Genomic DNA, 16,003 nt, shown 5'->3' with positions numbered 1-16,003 from the left:
TGCATCTGAGGATTTTATCTCTGTCCTGAGCAGCCAAGGGGTTTCCAGGAGGTGTCTCGCGGAACTAGGCTGGAGTGGAGAAGAACACAGCCAGCAGGACCCAGCCCCCTGCCTCATCTCCTCTTCAACCCCCACCAGATTTTATTTGCTTTATCGACTGGGCTTCCACATCAACTTCATTTTAAGAAAGTTGTGCTGCCAGCCTTGTTTTAAGGCCTTCTGCACCAGAGACTCCACCAAGGGTAAGACCACAACCCTCTTTATCTGTACAGCACCCTGCAGTTCTGAAAGCTTTTTCATGAAAGGGGCCCTGAAGGAAGGAAGCTCACCCTTCAGCCCTATTATCAGGTTGGGCATATAGAAAGTGCTAAAAAATTATTTATTGCATGAATAAATAACTCACATGCATTTTACAGCAAACCTGTGAGGTAGATGAGGCAATTTAGGTTTTATCCATTTTACATTTACTGAGTTGCTTACAATTGGTTAGGCATTGTAGTAAGCACTTCACATGAATTATGTCATATAATCCTCCTTGAAACCTTTGAGCTAAGTAACATTATTATGGATGAAACTGGGGCACAGACAGGTAAACTAACTTGCCGAAGGTCATATAGCTAGTTAAAAGCGGATTCCAACTCTGGCCGCTTGGTTCTTGCCCACGATGAAAAGTTGTTTTAGACTCAGTGAAACCTAGGTTGGGAGAGTTGTAGCAACCCCTGCAAGTCCTGGAGAGGATTGGCCATAGAAGCCAAGTTCAGATCCCCCAAACAGCTCAGACCCCCTCCAACATCATCAAGACATCATTTCAACAGTCTGATTAGGGCATGAGATGGCTGCTTCCTCAACCACCTAGCAAACACAGGACCTTTCCAGCCTGGGGTGCCAAGGACAGCCCCTCCTGGGAGATCTGTCCATACCCAAGGCCTGCCTGATGCAGTGGTGGTGGTAGGGAAAGGAAACAGGAAAGCATATTTAGAATGATAATAAAAGCAAGACAAAAACATGATTTTTTTTTCCCTAACGCCTCACATCCCCTCCATATCCTCAGCTCAAACACAGGGTAGACCCTAGTCAGTTGTGGAAATTTGCCAGCTGGGTCCCTGGTGTGATTTGGCTGTGTCCCCACCAAAATCTCCACTTGAATTGCATCTCCCAGAATTCCCAAGTGTTGTGGGAGAGACCCACGGCGGGGGCGGGGTAATTGAAATCATGGGGGCCGGTCTTTCCCATGCTCTTCTTGTGACAGTGAATAAGGCTCACGAGATCTGATGGGTTTATCAGGGGTTTCTGCTTTTGCTTCTTCCTCATTCTCTCTTGCCACTGCCATTTAAGAAGCACCTTTTGCCTTCCGGGATGATTCTGAGGCCTCCCCACCCATATGGAACTATAAGTCCAATTAAACCTCTTTTTCTTCCCAGTTTCAGGTATGTCTTTATCAGCAATGTGAAAACAGACTAATACAGTAAATTGGTACCAGTAGAATGGGGTGTTGCTGAAAAGACACCTGATAAGGTGGAAGCGACTTTGGAACTTGGTAACAGGCAGAGGTTCAAACAGTTTGGAGGTCTCAGAAGACAGGAAAATGTGGGGAAGTTTGGAACCTTCTAGAGACTTGTTGAATGGTTTTGCCCAAAATGCTGATAGCCATATGGACAATAAGGTCCAGGCTGAGGTGGTCTAAGATGGAGATGAGGAACTTGTTGGGAACTGAAGTAAAGGCAACTCTTGTTATGTTTTAGTAAAGAGGCTGGTGGCATTTTACCCCTGCCCTAGAGATTCGTGGAACTTTGAACTTGAGAGAGATGATTTAGGGTATCTGGCGGAAGAAATTTCTAAGCAGCAAAGCATTCAAGAGGTGACTTGGGTACTGTTAAAGGCATTCCTTTTTATAAGGGAAGCAGAGCATAAAAGTTTGGAAAATTTGCAGCCTGACTATGTGATAGAAAAGAAAAACCCACTGTCTGGGGAGAGATTCAAGCTGGCTGCAGAAATTTGGATAAGCAGCAAGGAGACTAATGTTAATCCCCAAGACCATGGGGAAAATGTCTCCAGGCCATGTCAGAGACTTTCACTGCAGGCCCTCCCATCACAGGCCCAGAGGCCCAGGAGGAAAAAATGCTCTCATGGGCCAGGCCCAGGGTTCCTGTGCTGTGTGCAGCCTAGGGACTTGGCACCCTGTGTTCCAGCTGCTCCAGCCATGGCTGAAAGGGGCCAATGTAGAGCTTGGGCCATGGCTTCAGAGGGTGGAAGCTCCAAGCCTTGGCAGCTTCCATGTAGTGTTGAGCCTGTGGGTGCATAGAAGTCAATAATTGAGGTTTGGGAACATCCGTCTAGATTTCAGAAGATGTATGGAAATGCCTGGATGTCTAGGCAAAAGTTTGCTGCAGGGGCAGTGCCCTCATGGAGAACCTCTGCTAGGGCAGTACAGAAGGAAAATATGGGTGGGATCCCCCACACAGAGTCCTTACTGGGGCACTGCCTAGTGTAGCTGTGAGAAGAGGGCCACCATTCTCCAGACCCCAGAATGGTAGATCGACTGACAGCTTGCAGCATGTGCCTAGAAAAGCCACAGACACTCAACGTCAGCCTGTGAAAGCAGCTGGGAGGGAGGCTGTACTCTGCAAAGCCACAGGGGTGGAGCTGCCCAAGACCATGGGAACCCACCTCTTGCATCAGAGTGACCTGGATGTGAGACCTGGAGTCAGAAAAGATCATTTTGGAGCTTTAAAATTTGACTGCCCCACTGGATTTTGGACTTGCATGGGTAACCCCTTAATTTTGGCCAATTTCTCCCATTTGGAATGACTGTATTTACCCAATACCTGTACCCCCATTGTATCTAGGAAGTCACTAGCTTGCTTTTGATTTTACAGGCTCATAGGCAGAAGGGACTTGCCTTGTCTCAGATGAGATGTTGGATTGTGGACTGTTGGGTTAATGCTGAAATAAGACTTTGGGGGACTGTCGGGAAGGAATGATTAGTTTCTTGAAATGTGAGGACATGAGATTTGAAGGGGCCAGGGGTGGAATGATATGGTTTGGCTGTGTCCCCATCAAAATCTCAACTTGAAATGTATCTCCCAGAATTCCCACGTGTTGTGGGAGGGACCCAGGGGGAGGTAATTGAATCATGGGGCCAGTCTTTCCCATGCTATTCTCATGATAGTGAATAAGTCTCACGAGATCTGATGGGTTTATCAGGGGTTTCTGCTTTTGCTTCTTCCTCATTCTCTCTTGCTGCCACCATGTAAGAAGCACATTTCACCTTCCACCATGATGCTGAGGCTTCCCTAGCCATGTGGAACTGTAAGTCCAATTAAACCTCTTTTTCTTCCCAGTCTTGGGTATGTCTTTATCAGCAGCATGAAAACAGACTAATACAGTCCCTCTCACCCAGGAAGGGGCTGGGCTGAGCCTGGAGAAAGACGAGGAGGTGCTAAGCATACAGGCATTTAGGCAAGTAGGCCTGGGGTCTTATGAATGCATCCATCCACCCACCCACCAATTCATCCACCTCCATCCATCCATCCATCCATCCACTGCCCCATCCATCCATCCATCTGTCCATCCACTTATCCATCCACCCACTGCTCCATCCATCCATCCATCCATCCATCCACTTATCCATCCATCCATCCATCCATCTACTTATCCATCCATCCATTTGCTGGAAATGGAACAAGTGCCCACATTCTGCTGCTCTGAAGCTGATTGACCTCTAGACTTCCTCCCTAAGACTGATGGTCATTTGAGAACTGGATATCAACAGGCTGTGACAAAGCTCTTCAAGCTCTGATGCATGTTACCTGTGAAAAGTTGTTTCTGCTTATACCTGCATTATAAAGCAGTAAGAGATTTCTGAGACTTCAAAGGGAATTCATTGTATAGAAAGCTCAGAGCTGCAACTGTAGCCCACATCTATGTAGCATGAATGAGCCCGTGGCACCCACTGCCTTAGGCAAAATCTGATTTCCCCATCCCTTTATTTTCCTCTTTATTCTGACTTCCTCATCCAAATATAGGTTATTATCTTTTGTTAACTTATATATTTTAAGCCTCCTCAAATCCTTTTTTGGAATCAAGTTGAAACATAAAAGAAAAAAAATGATTGAATTGAACTAATGCAGATGAAATAAGGAGGGGATTTATTTCAGGAACTGAGCTGAGCTCCCAAACTGAGAGTTCAACCATTCTCTGTCACCCCCACCCATGAGCCTGGGGATATGATTGCTGTCAAATGGCTCTTTCTAACATTCTTTCTGCTCGAGGAATGGCAGCCCTTCAATTAGCACCTATCAGTCCTGGTTTTGGGCATCTGATGGAGAGCCCCTAGCTTAGTGTTCTCATTGTAAAATTGGGATTATACTTGTTCCTAGCCTGCAAAACTGTTGAGAGGATTAGTTGACTTCTGCATATAGTAAGGGCTCAGTTATAGTTAGCTGTTATTACTGGTAGATTTCAGTGACGCATGACTTAAACAGAGGTCCAGTCTTGGCACTAGAGCCAATATGGACCCACTGAGCAACTCTTTCTACCTTCCTCTCAAGCTTTGAGTGTAGAGTAGAACCTTTGAGAACACAGAGGCTTGCATGGCCAATAATCATTTGTTCAATTGATTCTAGATATTTAATGGTAATAACCCCCTCCCTCCGCAGTTAAGGCTGGGTGAGGCATGCAGTGGTTAGTCTCTGCTTAGCCCTTGGGGTACACATGATTCCTGTCTTCAAGGCACTTAGTGTCTCCAGGAAAGACTAACCTACAAACCACCAACTGCAGCGCCAGGATGAATGAACTGGTGATGGCTCCATCTTGCCTTTAGACCTTTGCCCATGCTATTCCCTCACCTGTAATACTTTTCCTTACCTTCACCCTCCCTTCACCTGCTCTTCTTCCCTCTCTACCTCTCTCTCTCCCCTCTGCAGAAGGTGTTCATTGTGTTTCTACAGACTCATTCTTGATATATTTTGTATTCTCTTTTTCTCCCTCCCCTCTTTCCTCTCTTTCTCAATTTGCAACTCTCAATTTCAATTTTTGTTTCAATTTTTATATTTGGAATTGGTTACTGTCCTTTTAGTAGTAAGATAAATGGCTAAAATATGCCTGCAGCTTATCTTTAATTAACACAGCTCACAGTGTTATCTGCTTTCAAAAATGCCTGTACTGGTGTACTAGGCAGAATCGTGCCATCTAGAGATGTCTGCGACCCAATCCCCTCAACCTGTGAATAGGTACATTTATGACAAAAGTAATTTTGCAGATGTGATTAAATTAAGGATCTTAAAATAGGGAGATGATCTTGGATTATTCAGGTGGGCCCAGTGTAATCACAAGGGACCTTAAAGATGGGAGAAGAAGGCAGAAGAATGAGAGAAGGAAATGAGACCATGAAAGCAGAGGTCACAGTGATGCCAGTGATTGCAGCTGGGGGCCAGCCAAGCAGTGTGGGCAGCCTCTAGAAACTGGGGAAGACAAGGAAATTGATTCTCCCTCTAGAGCCTCCAGGAGGAATGCAGCCCTGCTGACACCTAGATTTTCAACTCGGACCTCCAGAAAGTCATTAATTTGCATTGTTTCAAGCCACAGAGTTAGTGGTAATTTGTTACAGTAGCAACAGGGAACCAATAGAGCTGGCTCCAAAAGAAAGGGAAGGAAATCCTGTTTCTTACAGGAGTATTTCCGTTTCCTAATGTCAGTACAACTAGGTTTTATGGGAGTACTTGTGTGTGAGTGTGTGGGACTTGCCCATATGGCATATGGCTATCTTTTCTCCTCCAGATCATGGTTGACACAGGACAAGTTTCCACAAAATAAATAAACACTGTCATTTCAATTGAAACTTTGTGTGGAGATAAGTTCACATCCCGAAGTGGACTTGGGCTGCAAGCCCCTTCCTCTGAAAAACATCACGGGTATCATTGTGTTCATGCACTAATAAGCACTGCAAGGCAGTGTATTTGCTTTTCTTGTGCTTTCTTTTCATAGTGGCATCTGCTGGGCTTCAGCTGGCATCTGGACATAGCATAAGAGAGGACATGATGGCAGATGAAGGGATCTGACATCCTAGGAAGGAGGCAGTGGTCTGAACAACATCTTACCACTTATGAACACACCTATGTTCGTGCAGTGAAAGCATGAGTTCTGTTTATTTGAACAACAGAGCTCTGAACAGTCCCCAAGCCTCTCATTTGCTCTGCTGGAATGCAGAGCGTGGTGGTGCAGAGAAGTCTTTGAGGCCAGAGATGAATTTGAAAACTGCCTGCTATTGATGGGTAACCAGGGTTGTTATTGTTTTTTCTTCAGCTGTAAAATGGGAGAATTGGGGGAGGTTCTGGTTTTGCACTGAGATAATGCATTGATGTGCACAGCACAGTCCCTGGATCAAAGTAAGCCATCAATACACAGTAGCTCTTGGGATTGCATTTAGCCTCCTGATCTAGCATAATAGTAAGAATAATAAAGAAGCAAGACTAGGGTTCTGTGGTCAGTTATCTTGTTTGAAGAATCTTTGCTGAAATGTTTCGAAAGGACATGATGTACCTTTTCTTCTTGGTTCCCTTTACACACGACGCTTCTCTTCCAAGCTGTGATTATGAAGTCTGTAATCTGAGTTCCCATCTCAAATCCTGCTCCATGAGTCTGTTTACTTCCCTGTCCCTCAAAAGTATTCTCAGTCCAGCCATACCCTTTCATTAGAGACTCCAAGACTGACAAGGAAAAGAGCTGAGCCATGAGTGGAGACAGTGTGCAAGAAGTAACTGCTTACTCCTTCCTTTGGGGCAAGGGGTACAATCAGCTGATGTGGCAGGAAGCCTGCAGTGTTGGGTTAAGTAGCAGTCAGACAACATTTAAGTAGAACTGGCCCATCTTCCAGCTGCAACCTCAGATGACAGCTATCCTAGCTCCACTTAGAAAGGCAGTGCCTCTTCTGCTCACCAGTGGGCTGCCTTCCCCAGAGCTCATGATGGCAAGGTGGAACAGAGCTGGTCCCCAGGCCTAGCAGAGCAAGAACAGGGCAGCTAGAGACCAATCATCCTGGCTTTCCTCTGGGCCAAGAGGGCTCCCCGTTTCAAAGGCAGACAGTGGAAGATCTGAGAAAGAAGTCAGGATTGAGGGTGATAGCCACCCCCATGGGCCTATGCAGAGTAAGAGCTGAAGATCCAACTGGAAAGGATGGTAGGAGCCATCTCCACTGCAACTTCTTCAAACTCTCCAGGGACACAAACTGAGAGCGGCCCTGTAACCAGTGTGGTTACCGGCCTGCTCTGCAAGTCCGATTAGAGCCCAGCTGTAAGCAGACCCTTCTTTTCCTTCCCTGGCCTGGGAGCTGGCCCATACGGTGTGGAAGGTGCATGCCAGCTGGAGCAATGCATCTCCAACTTCAAAGTGTTGGAGAATCACTTGGAGATCCTGTTAAAATGCAGATTGTGAGTCAATGGATCTGGGGTGGGGCCTGAGCCTCTGCATTTCTAAGATCTCAGGTAAGGCCATGCTGGTGGCCTGCCTTTGGGATTGCAATTAGCTTGATAACAGGCTAAAACAATAAAAAATAAAGGATAATACAGAAACAAGATGAGGGTCTTGTAGGAGACTCTTCTGTCTGCTTCCATGATGTTCTGGGTGTCATATCTCTTGGCAGAGGTAATTTAGAGTGCTTCCACTTCCAAGTGACCTTTGAGGTCCCCCTCTGTGGGCACTTTGAAGAATTAACAGGGAATAGGACAGGGCTTGGAGATTTGGATGAGACTAACATTGAGTGCCTGCTTGGAACAACAGCAAGAGGAAAGGCAAGGAGCTGGGACTGGGCAGAGTTTAGCTGAAGCAGTTGGGAGGGGCAGGTGAGGAGAGGACGGTTAAGGGAGAAAAAAGTGGAAAATGGAGAAGTGAGGTCAGCGAGGAGCACTGGACACTGAGTCAAAGCTCTTACTCTCATCAGCTTTAACACCTGGGGCAAGCTGACACCTCTGAGCCTCAGTTTCTTTATCTATAAATGAGTAGTGTAACATTTAAGCCCCAGGATTAGGGTGAAGGTTAAATAAAGCAACATATGTGAAAGCATCCAGCAAATTACCTGGCATGTAATAGTATCCAATATCCAATACACTTTGAAATAACAAACCAGTAAGTAGGCTCAGGCTTTGCAGAGTCTTCACAGCCAAACAAAGGAGTTTGGCTTTTGCTGCCAAGAAGCCAGTCACAGATTATTCCTAACTGCAATAAAGCAAGCTCTCCCTAGGGATCTCTGCTTAACTGCCTCTGAGTAATTCTGAGCACTTAAGTGGAACTCAAACAGATAAAATTATATAGTTCAAAACCAGTCTTGAATGCAGACCCCTCACTAATCCCGATTAATCTTTGCCTCCGTCTGAAACGGTATGATTCCACAGGCCCCTGGATTTCTTGGAGTAATCCACTATCCCTCTCTCCTCATCTCCTCATCGATGAGCAGCGGGTTGCATTGGTTGCATATTAATAGGATGTCCCAGGGAAACAACACAACCCACGCCCAAATCCTGTCTGGGGCCTGGAATACCAGGACCTTCCAAATCCCAAATCTGATGAAAAGAAATGACCCATTTTGCAGGGAGCTTGCTAGAAGCCCTTAGAAAAAGTCTGCATTGAGAAAGAGTCCTTTCTAGGCAAACAAATGAGGTCCAGGAGGCAGTGCGGCTGCCTATGCCAGGAAGGCTTTGTGGAGGCCTGTGTCTACCCTCCTCCCCGCTAACCCTTCCATCCTCACATGCTCCCTTGCACAGGTCTCAGCTAAGTAGAGCTTATGCAGCTTTTCATGACTTTCTTTTTTTTTTTTTTTTAAATAATATTTAGAAATTGTTTGGGGCCCAGAAACTTAAACATTTCCACTAAGCCATTATTTTCCTGCAGTATATGTTTTTAAAATAGATAGAAATAAAGCTTGCATTTCACAGACAAGAGGAAACGGTAAATACACTTAGGATCAGTGCAGAGGAGTCCATCTTCCTTTACTCTCCTTGGGAGAGGATCTTAAGTGGTGCTGGGCCAGACAACTAAGTGCTTCTCCCCCAAAACCAAAAGATCTAGATGAGTTTGAGGGTTGAAGGGGCAGCTGGATGGAGGCACATCAGAACCAGCTGTGGGTATTTTTTCTTTCCTAAGTAAATATCCCTTGCCCCAACTCCTCCCCTGGACCTTTCAAAAAACAGGCAGCAGTCCAATGTAGTAGTTAGAACATGAGCCCTGGACAAAGGCTGTGTGGGCTCAATCCTAGCTCTGCAATTCACCAACTGGAGGCCTTGGGTAAGTTAACCAATGTATTAGTCCATTTTCATGCTGCTGATAAAGACACACCCAAGACAGGGAAGAAAAATGGGTTTAATGGACTTACAGTTCCACATGGCTGGGGAGGCCTTACAATCATGGCAGAAGGCAAGGAGGAGCAAGTCATGTCTTACATGGATGGCAGCAGGCAAAGAGAGAGCTTGTGCAGGGAAAGTCCCATTTTTAAAACCATTAGATCTCATGAGATTCATTCACTATCATAAGAAAGTGCAGGAAAGACCCGCCCCCATAATTCAATCCCAGACCAGGTTCCTCTCACGACACATGGGAATTGCAGGAGCTACAATTCAAGATGAGATTTGGATGGGGACATAGCCAAACCATATCAACCAACTTCAGTGCCTTAGTTTCTTCACCTGTAAAATAGAGGGATAAAAGTGCCCATCTCATGAGGCTGCTACAAGTGTCACAGGAGTTAATAGCCATGAGGTAGTTAGAGCATTGCCTGGCACAAAGCAAGATTCAACGATTTAATGCATCCCAAGCCACCAATATCTAATATGTCCCCAAACTCTCAATCCTAGCTGCTCCAGCCCAGTCCTCTTGCAGTTCCCCAACCCCATAAATGACAACTCCATCCTTCCTGTTGCTCGGACCCCAATGCTTGGAGTCATTTTTGACTCCTCTTTTTCACACTCTATACACCATCCATTAATAAATCCTATCAACTCTAATTTGAGCATATATTTAGCACCTGGCCACGTTTAAACACACCACCGATGCCCCCCCAGTCCAAGCCACTGTCAACTTTCATCCTAACTGTTGCAGTAGCCTCCTCCTACCCTCACCTCCAGCCCACAATCTCTTCTTCTCACAGCCTCTAGAGTAACTCTTTAAAAACGTTTAAGTCACACGATGTTTCTCCTCTGCTTAAAACCCTCCAAAGCCCCCTATCTCACTCACAGTAAAAGCCAAAGTTCTACTGGGCCCTAGAAAGTCCTATGTGATACAGCCCACTGCCTCTCTGATGCTACTGCCTACTTCTCTTCCCCTTGCTCCCTCTCCCCCAGCCACACGCTCTTCCTTGCTGTTCCTTGAACATGCCCAGCATGCTTCTGCCTCAGGGCCTTTGCACATGCCATTCCCTCTGCCCAGAACACTCTTCCCTCAGAACCCTTATAGCTCCCTCCCTCCCTTCCTTCAGGCTCTACTCAAATGTCACTTCATCAGAAAGGCCGTCTTGAACCTCCTATATAAAACCTTCCATCACTCACTATACCCCTTTCTTTGCTTGATTTTCCTTTTGAGTTCTTATTACCAGTTAATGTTATACATCTTTGTTCCTCTGCTTTTTTTCCTCTCTCCCTGCTTTAGATATGCTGCTCTAATATAGCAGCAGCCCAGTCCCTTTTCTCTTTTGCTCTGTTTCTTTTCTTTTTTCTTTTTTTTTTTTTTTTTTGAGATGGAGTCTGGCTCTGTTGCCCAGGCTGGAGTGCAGTGCAGTGGCGCAATCTTGGCTCACTGCAACCTCCGCCTCCCGGGTCCAAGCGATCCTCCTGCCTCTGCCTCCCAAGTAGCTGGGACTACAGGCGCATGCCACCATGCCAGGGTAATTTTTTGTAAGTTTAGTAGAGATGGCATTTCACTGTGTTAGCCAGGATTGTCTTAATCTCCTGACCTCGTGATCCACCTGCCTTGGCCTCCCAAAGTGCTGGGATTACAAACATAAGCCACTGTGCCTGGCCCTCTTTTGCTCTATTTCTAGTCTCTAGAAACATGCCTGGCACATAGTGGGTGTTTATAACTGTGAATATCTCCCTCCCTCCATTTCTGTCCCCCTCTAATACAGCTCCATGCTGCAGCCAGAAGGATCTGCTTACAATACAAATTTTAAATTCTATAATGCTCCTCTGTCACTCGAGAACCACCAGTGGACCTCCCTGCTGCCCACAAGGCAAAGCTACTACGTGACATGGAAGTCCTTTTGTGGTCTGGTCCTACGTAACCTCAGCCCTCTCTGTTGCCATCAGTGAACCCTCTGCCCACGGAGCAGAAATGTGTCATTGCTCCCTGAGTAATGATCCTTTGCTCATGCTGTTCCCTCAACTTAGAATGCCCTTCCTCCCTTTCTCCATCTTTCAGACTCTCACTGTAGTGGGTCGAATGGTGGTCCGCTAAATGATATGTCCACCTGGAATCCATAGAAACAACCACATTTGGAAAAAGGATCTTTGCAGGTATAAAGTTAATGGTATAGATGAGATTATCCTAGATTAGGGTGGCCCCTAAATCCAATAACAAATGTCCTCAGAAGAGAAGAGAAGGGGAGAAGATACAGAGGAGGGGGCCAGGCGAAAACAGAGGCAGAGATTGGAGTGATGCTGTCACAGCCACGAGACGCCTGGAGCCACCAGAGCTGGAAGAGGCAAGGAAGGACTTTCCTCTAGAGTCTGCCAAGAAAGCATGGCTCTGCCCACGCCTTGATTTTTATATTTCTGACCTCCAGAACTGTGAGAGAATAAATTTCTGTTGTCTTAAGTCACCAAGTTTGTGGTAACTTGTTATGGCAGCCCCAGGAAACTAATATACTCTCCCTTCAAGACTTGCAGAGAAGTGGCTGGGTGCGGTAGCTCATGCCTGTCATCCCAGCACTTTGGGAGGCCGAAGCAGGAAGATCATGAGGTCAGGAGCTCAAGACCAGCCTGGCCAACATAGTGAAACCCCATCTCTACTAAAAATACAAAAATTAGCCGGGCATGGTGGTGTGCACCTGCAGTCTCAGCTACTCGGGAGGCTGAGGCAGGAAAATAGCCTGAACTCGGGAGGCGGAGGTTGTGGTGAGCTGAGGTCACGCCGCTGCATTCCAGCCTGGGCAACAGAGCGAGACTCCATCTCAAAAAAAAAAAAAAAAAAAAAAGACTTGTAGAGATGCACTCCTTGCCTCCCACCCCTACTGGGGGATTGTGCATCCTTTTCATACTTGATGTCCCCGATTTCCTGGCCAAAGCTGATTGGACTGGGGATGAACACTTAGCCCAAGCTGGGCCAATCAGAGTGTCACAGGGACTCGAAACTGGGACAACAGGACCATGGGGCCCTGGTGGGGCAGGTCATCTAGGCTCAGAGCTGGGCAGTGTAGGATTGTGTGCAGAAAGGAAGCCATGCAGAGAGGAGCAGGACAGACATCATATGCCCTGATGATTTTCTAGTTCCTAGAGGAGAAGTTCCTGCTCTTTGTTTCTAAAAGATTCCCACTCCCACTTTTCCATAACCTGGCTTGAGCAAGTTTATTTTCCTTGCAACCAAATCATCCCTAAGCTAACAACTGAGCTTTAGTGTCACTTCATCTCTGACCCCATCGCATGGAGAGAGAAGATCCTAGTCTCTGGGCACCTCAGCTCTGTGTCCCCACCAAGATTCACTGTCACCGATAGCAATGTTTGCATGCCAGTTTTCCCCCAAACTGAGCTCTTCAACCAAGAATCAATCTTGTTCTGCCTGTTCCCATTTCCCCATTACCAGATGGGGTACCATGTCTGGGACCACAATGGATAAATAAATGAATAAAGGAAAAAATGCCACTCAGTTATGCCCACAAGAAACTTATGGTCAGGGTAGGAAGCCCAGACTGACACACATACCCAAGAGCACCATCCAAAAAGGACCAAGTAGAGGGCTGCTCTGAGTCCAGGAGGGGAGGCCGGAGGGCCACTGCGGAGGCAAGGGAAGGAGAAATTGTAGAAGTGGGGTGTGGGAGATGATCACTGGACCAGGCAGAAGGCAGGGTGGAAAAGGGAGGATGTTCCAAGTAGGGTGTAGGGGCAGTAGGGAGGAGGAAGCAGCAGCAATTGGGGTATGTGATAGAGATAGGGCCTGACTTTGAGCAGAAGTTTGCAGGCAGGAGCTCTGAAGGAAGGGATCACTGGGCCAGTCCTAGGCTTTGGGTAACTCATCCACCTAGCTGACACCCATCCAGACACTGTGCCCAGTGCCAGGTGTACAGAGATGACAGATAGCAGAATTCAAAGACCAGGCTGAAGCTCTTGAGAGAACAAGACTGTATCTGCTGTTCCAAGGAGGAGAAATAGTATATAAACAAAGCTTCTGTGGAGCACTTTACAGTTTAGAAAGTGCTTTCTCATGTATTAATGATTACAAAGTCACATGGTATAGTAGAAAAAGTGATGCTGCTGCAGAAAGCCTGAGTTAAGATCTTGCCTCTACCATTTGCTGGCTATAAAACCTTCAGCTAAGAACCTCCTTGAGCTTCAATTTCTTCATCTGTAGGATAACACCAGCTAGTGTTTATTGAACACCTAGTATATGCCTACTATTATAATTGCTTTTATGTGTATTAACTTATTTGATCTTCAAAAACAATACTACAAAGTAGTTACTATTGTTATCCCCATTTCGCAGCTATAGAAATTGAGGCTCAAGGAAGCTAAGAAACCCGCCCAAATCACACAACTACCCAGCAGAAGAGGTGAGATTTGAACCCAGTTATTCTGGCTCCAGAGTCCATGTTCTTAGCCACAATGCTGTACTGTAGATGATGACAGCAGCCCCTCCTCAAAAGTTTTGGGGGATCAGTAAGATTAATACACATGTAACTGGCTAGAGGTTATAGGTAAATATTGGCAACTGTTATAATTTTATCCAGTGCACACAATGTTAGAGCAGTTGGTTGCTTTAGCAGATGCTGTTGACAACCTGTCATGTTCCCTTGGCTTAGCCTGGAGGTCATTCACAGACAGTAGGCATGTCCCTCACCTAGGGACATCCTGTCTCTGAGAGATTCTTGTGCATCAAACAGGGCAGGCCAGAAGTGCTGGGGTTCTCATATCCCAGGAGAAAACCACACCCAATGAGGCAGATGAGTTGGTGCATAAACACCCCAGCTTCTTTGTTCCTCCATGGGACAATTCTGAGGTAGGTCCAACATAGTCCTTCAGAGGGCCCCTGTGGGATTGAGCCCAGCTGCCCATTATAGTAACCCACCCATTAGCACACCTTTTATTGGCTTTCTCCTCGCTGTCTCACTCCCCACTCCCTCACAGTGCTTCCTGGAATCACTTCCCAAATAAACTACTTGTACTGAAATACTTACTTCACAGTCTGTGTTGGAGGATCCAAACTAAGACACGGATGCAATTCAGTTTGGAGAGAGAGAAAAGGAAGAGATATACCCATTGAGGCTTGAGATTTTTCTGGGCAGATACTGCCAGGAGAAGAGCATCAGCCCTCGTAGTGAAGGGAAACGTTCCCAGTAACTAGAAAAATGGATCAGCCCTCCCTCATGCTGTTTCTCAAACAGAATAGCCCCTTCACCCACATTTCACCTGACACTTCAAAAAGATTGGCCATCAAGGGATTCTGGCAAGAGCCCTGATGCCTCTGGAGTAGATTACAGAAGCATTCCTTGAAACCTTAGGATGTGAGCATAAAATAAACACAAATAAGCTCCCCTTGTCTAAATAAACCAAGGTACAGTTTGATGAGGCAGTTTTCGTTTTCTCCCTACCCCTTCCACACTTCTCTCCTCAAAGGCCAGGCTTGTTTGCTTACTTATTTAATACTAAACCCTTTGTACCTTCAAAGAACGCCTTTGTGTCTGAGATGAAGTGGAGCATTTCTGCCTGCTGGACACAATTTTCCAAATGAACCTCCAAACACAGAGTAGCCCAGATTATTAACAATAAGACAACCTCGCAGGTTGGCCGGATGGATGAAATGAACAGGAGGTAAGAAGGAAAACATGAAAAAGGATGGATTTTCAGCAGGTTTTTCCAGCCAAACCATTTGCAATTCCACTGGAAAGGATTCTCAGGGGGAAAGAAACCAAAGAACATGGTGAGAAAAAAAGCAAATTACTGGCTCAGCAGTGTGACATCTTCCCTTGACAAGTTGGGCATGAGGAAAGAGAGAAAGACAAGTTGGGCATGAGGACACATTGAAAAGGACCAACGCTGGCCAGCATGATGGCACAGAGGGCTTTGTCACCTCCAAACGTGGGTGGCCTGGGCCACAGTCCTAGGCTGGGCTCAGAAGTGCCCCTGCCATTTCATCCATCATGGAAACTGCACAAACACTAAGAACAGAGGCATTTGACTGGACCCAGACATTTCAAATGGGGGGAAGCTTTCAGAGAACACAGTTGGAACCAAAAATCAACACAAGGATCACCAAATGCACACACACACACACAGGCCATAAAAGAACGTATTATGCAGAGCCAACTAAAGAAAAATCACGGGGGATATTTGCATTGTGAAGCATCCCATTCTCTAATGGGTCAAGTCCTTCCCATAAGAGGCCGGATAACCTACTGGTCAAAAGCTTGGTGGTGGAGTCAAACTCCCTGGGAGAGAATCTCCCTAGCTCTGCCACATATGGGCTGGGTGACCTCGGGCAAATTCCTTAATCTTTCTGTGTGCTTCCATTTCCTCATCTGCAAATGAGGGCTGATAGTAATAATTATATTAACCTCAGAGCATTGTCTGAGGTTAAATGAATAAATACATATACATCACCTAGAAGAGGGTCTGGCATGCCCAGCACATGTTAGCTCTGATCACTACATAACTTCAGCAGACAATAACTCATCAGCACTACAATAGCTTCCCAGGTACAATAGGATAAAAGTTAAAAAGACAAAGCAGCATAAAAGCAGGTCAGACTGAAAAAGAATTCCCTGAAGCTAGGAAACTACCTTACTTCAAACAAAGCACAGTGACCGTCTTAC

General features: G+C 46.1%; 1 protein-coding gene across 11 annotated transcripts in view, besides 2 other annotated features; it reads right to left on the bottom strand.

The window, feature by feature from the left end:
• NAV2 (neuron navigator 2) overlaps positions 1-16,003 on the bottom strand; it is a 776,366-nt gene that overhangs the window by 507,253 nt on the left and 253,110 nt on the right. The window lies entirely within an intron of this gene.
• Positions 6,153-6,322: an enhancer, noted in NCBI's record as "experimental_19823 CRE fragment used in MPRA reporter constructs". NCBI's record gives its function as "activates a minimal promoter by MPRAs in K562 erythroleukemia cells, with activity observed for both the introgressed and non-introgressed 11:19629658 or rs1487212 variant alleles {active_cell/tissue: K562}" and the evidence as "EXISTENCE:reporter gene assay evidence [ECO:0000049][PMID:34662402]".
• Position 6,237: a transcriptional cis regulatory region, noted in NCBI's record as "Neanderthal adaptively introgressed variant 11:19629658 (GRCh37/hg19 assembly coordinates) or rs1487212 in the experimental_19823 CRE". NCBI's record gives its function as "modulates activity of the experimental_19823 enhancer by MPRAs in K562 erythroleukemia cells {active_cell/tissue: K562}" and the evidence as "EXISTENCE:reporter gene assay evidence [ECO:0000049][PMID:34662402]".

The sequence above is a fragment of the Homo sapiens genome, chromosome 11 (genome assembly GCF_000001405.40).
Source record: "Homo sapiens chromosome 11, GRCh38.p14 Primary Assembly".
Classification (NCBI taxonomy): Eukaryota; Metazoa; Chordata; class Mammalia; order Primates; family Hominidae; genus Homo; species Homo sapiens.
The sequence above is the reverse complement of the archived record's forward strand: the minus strand, read 5'-3'. Positions and strand labels throughout refer to the sequence as shown.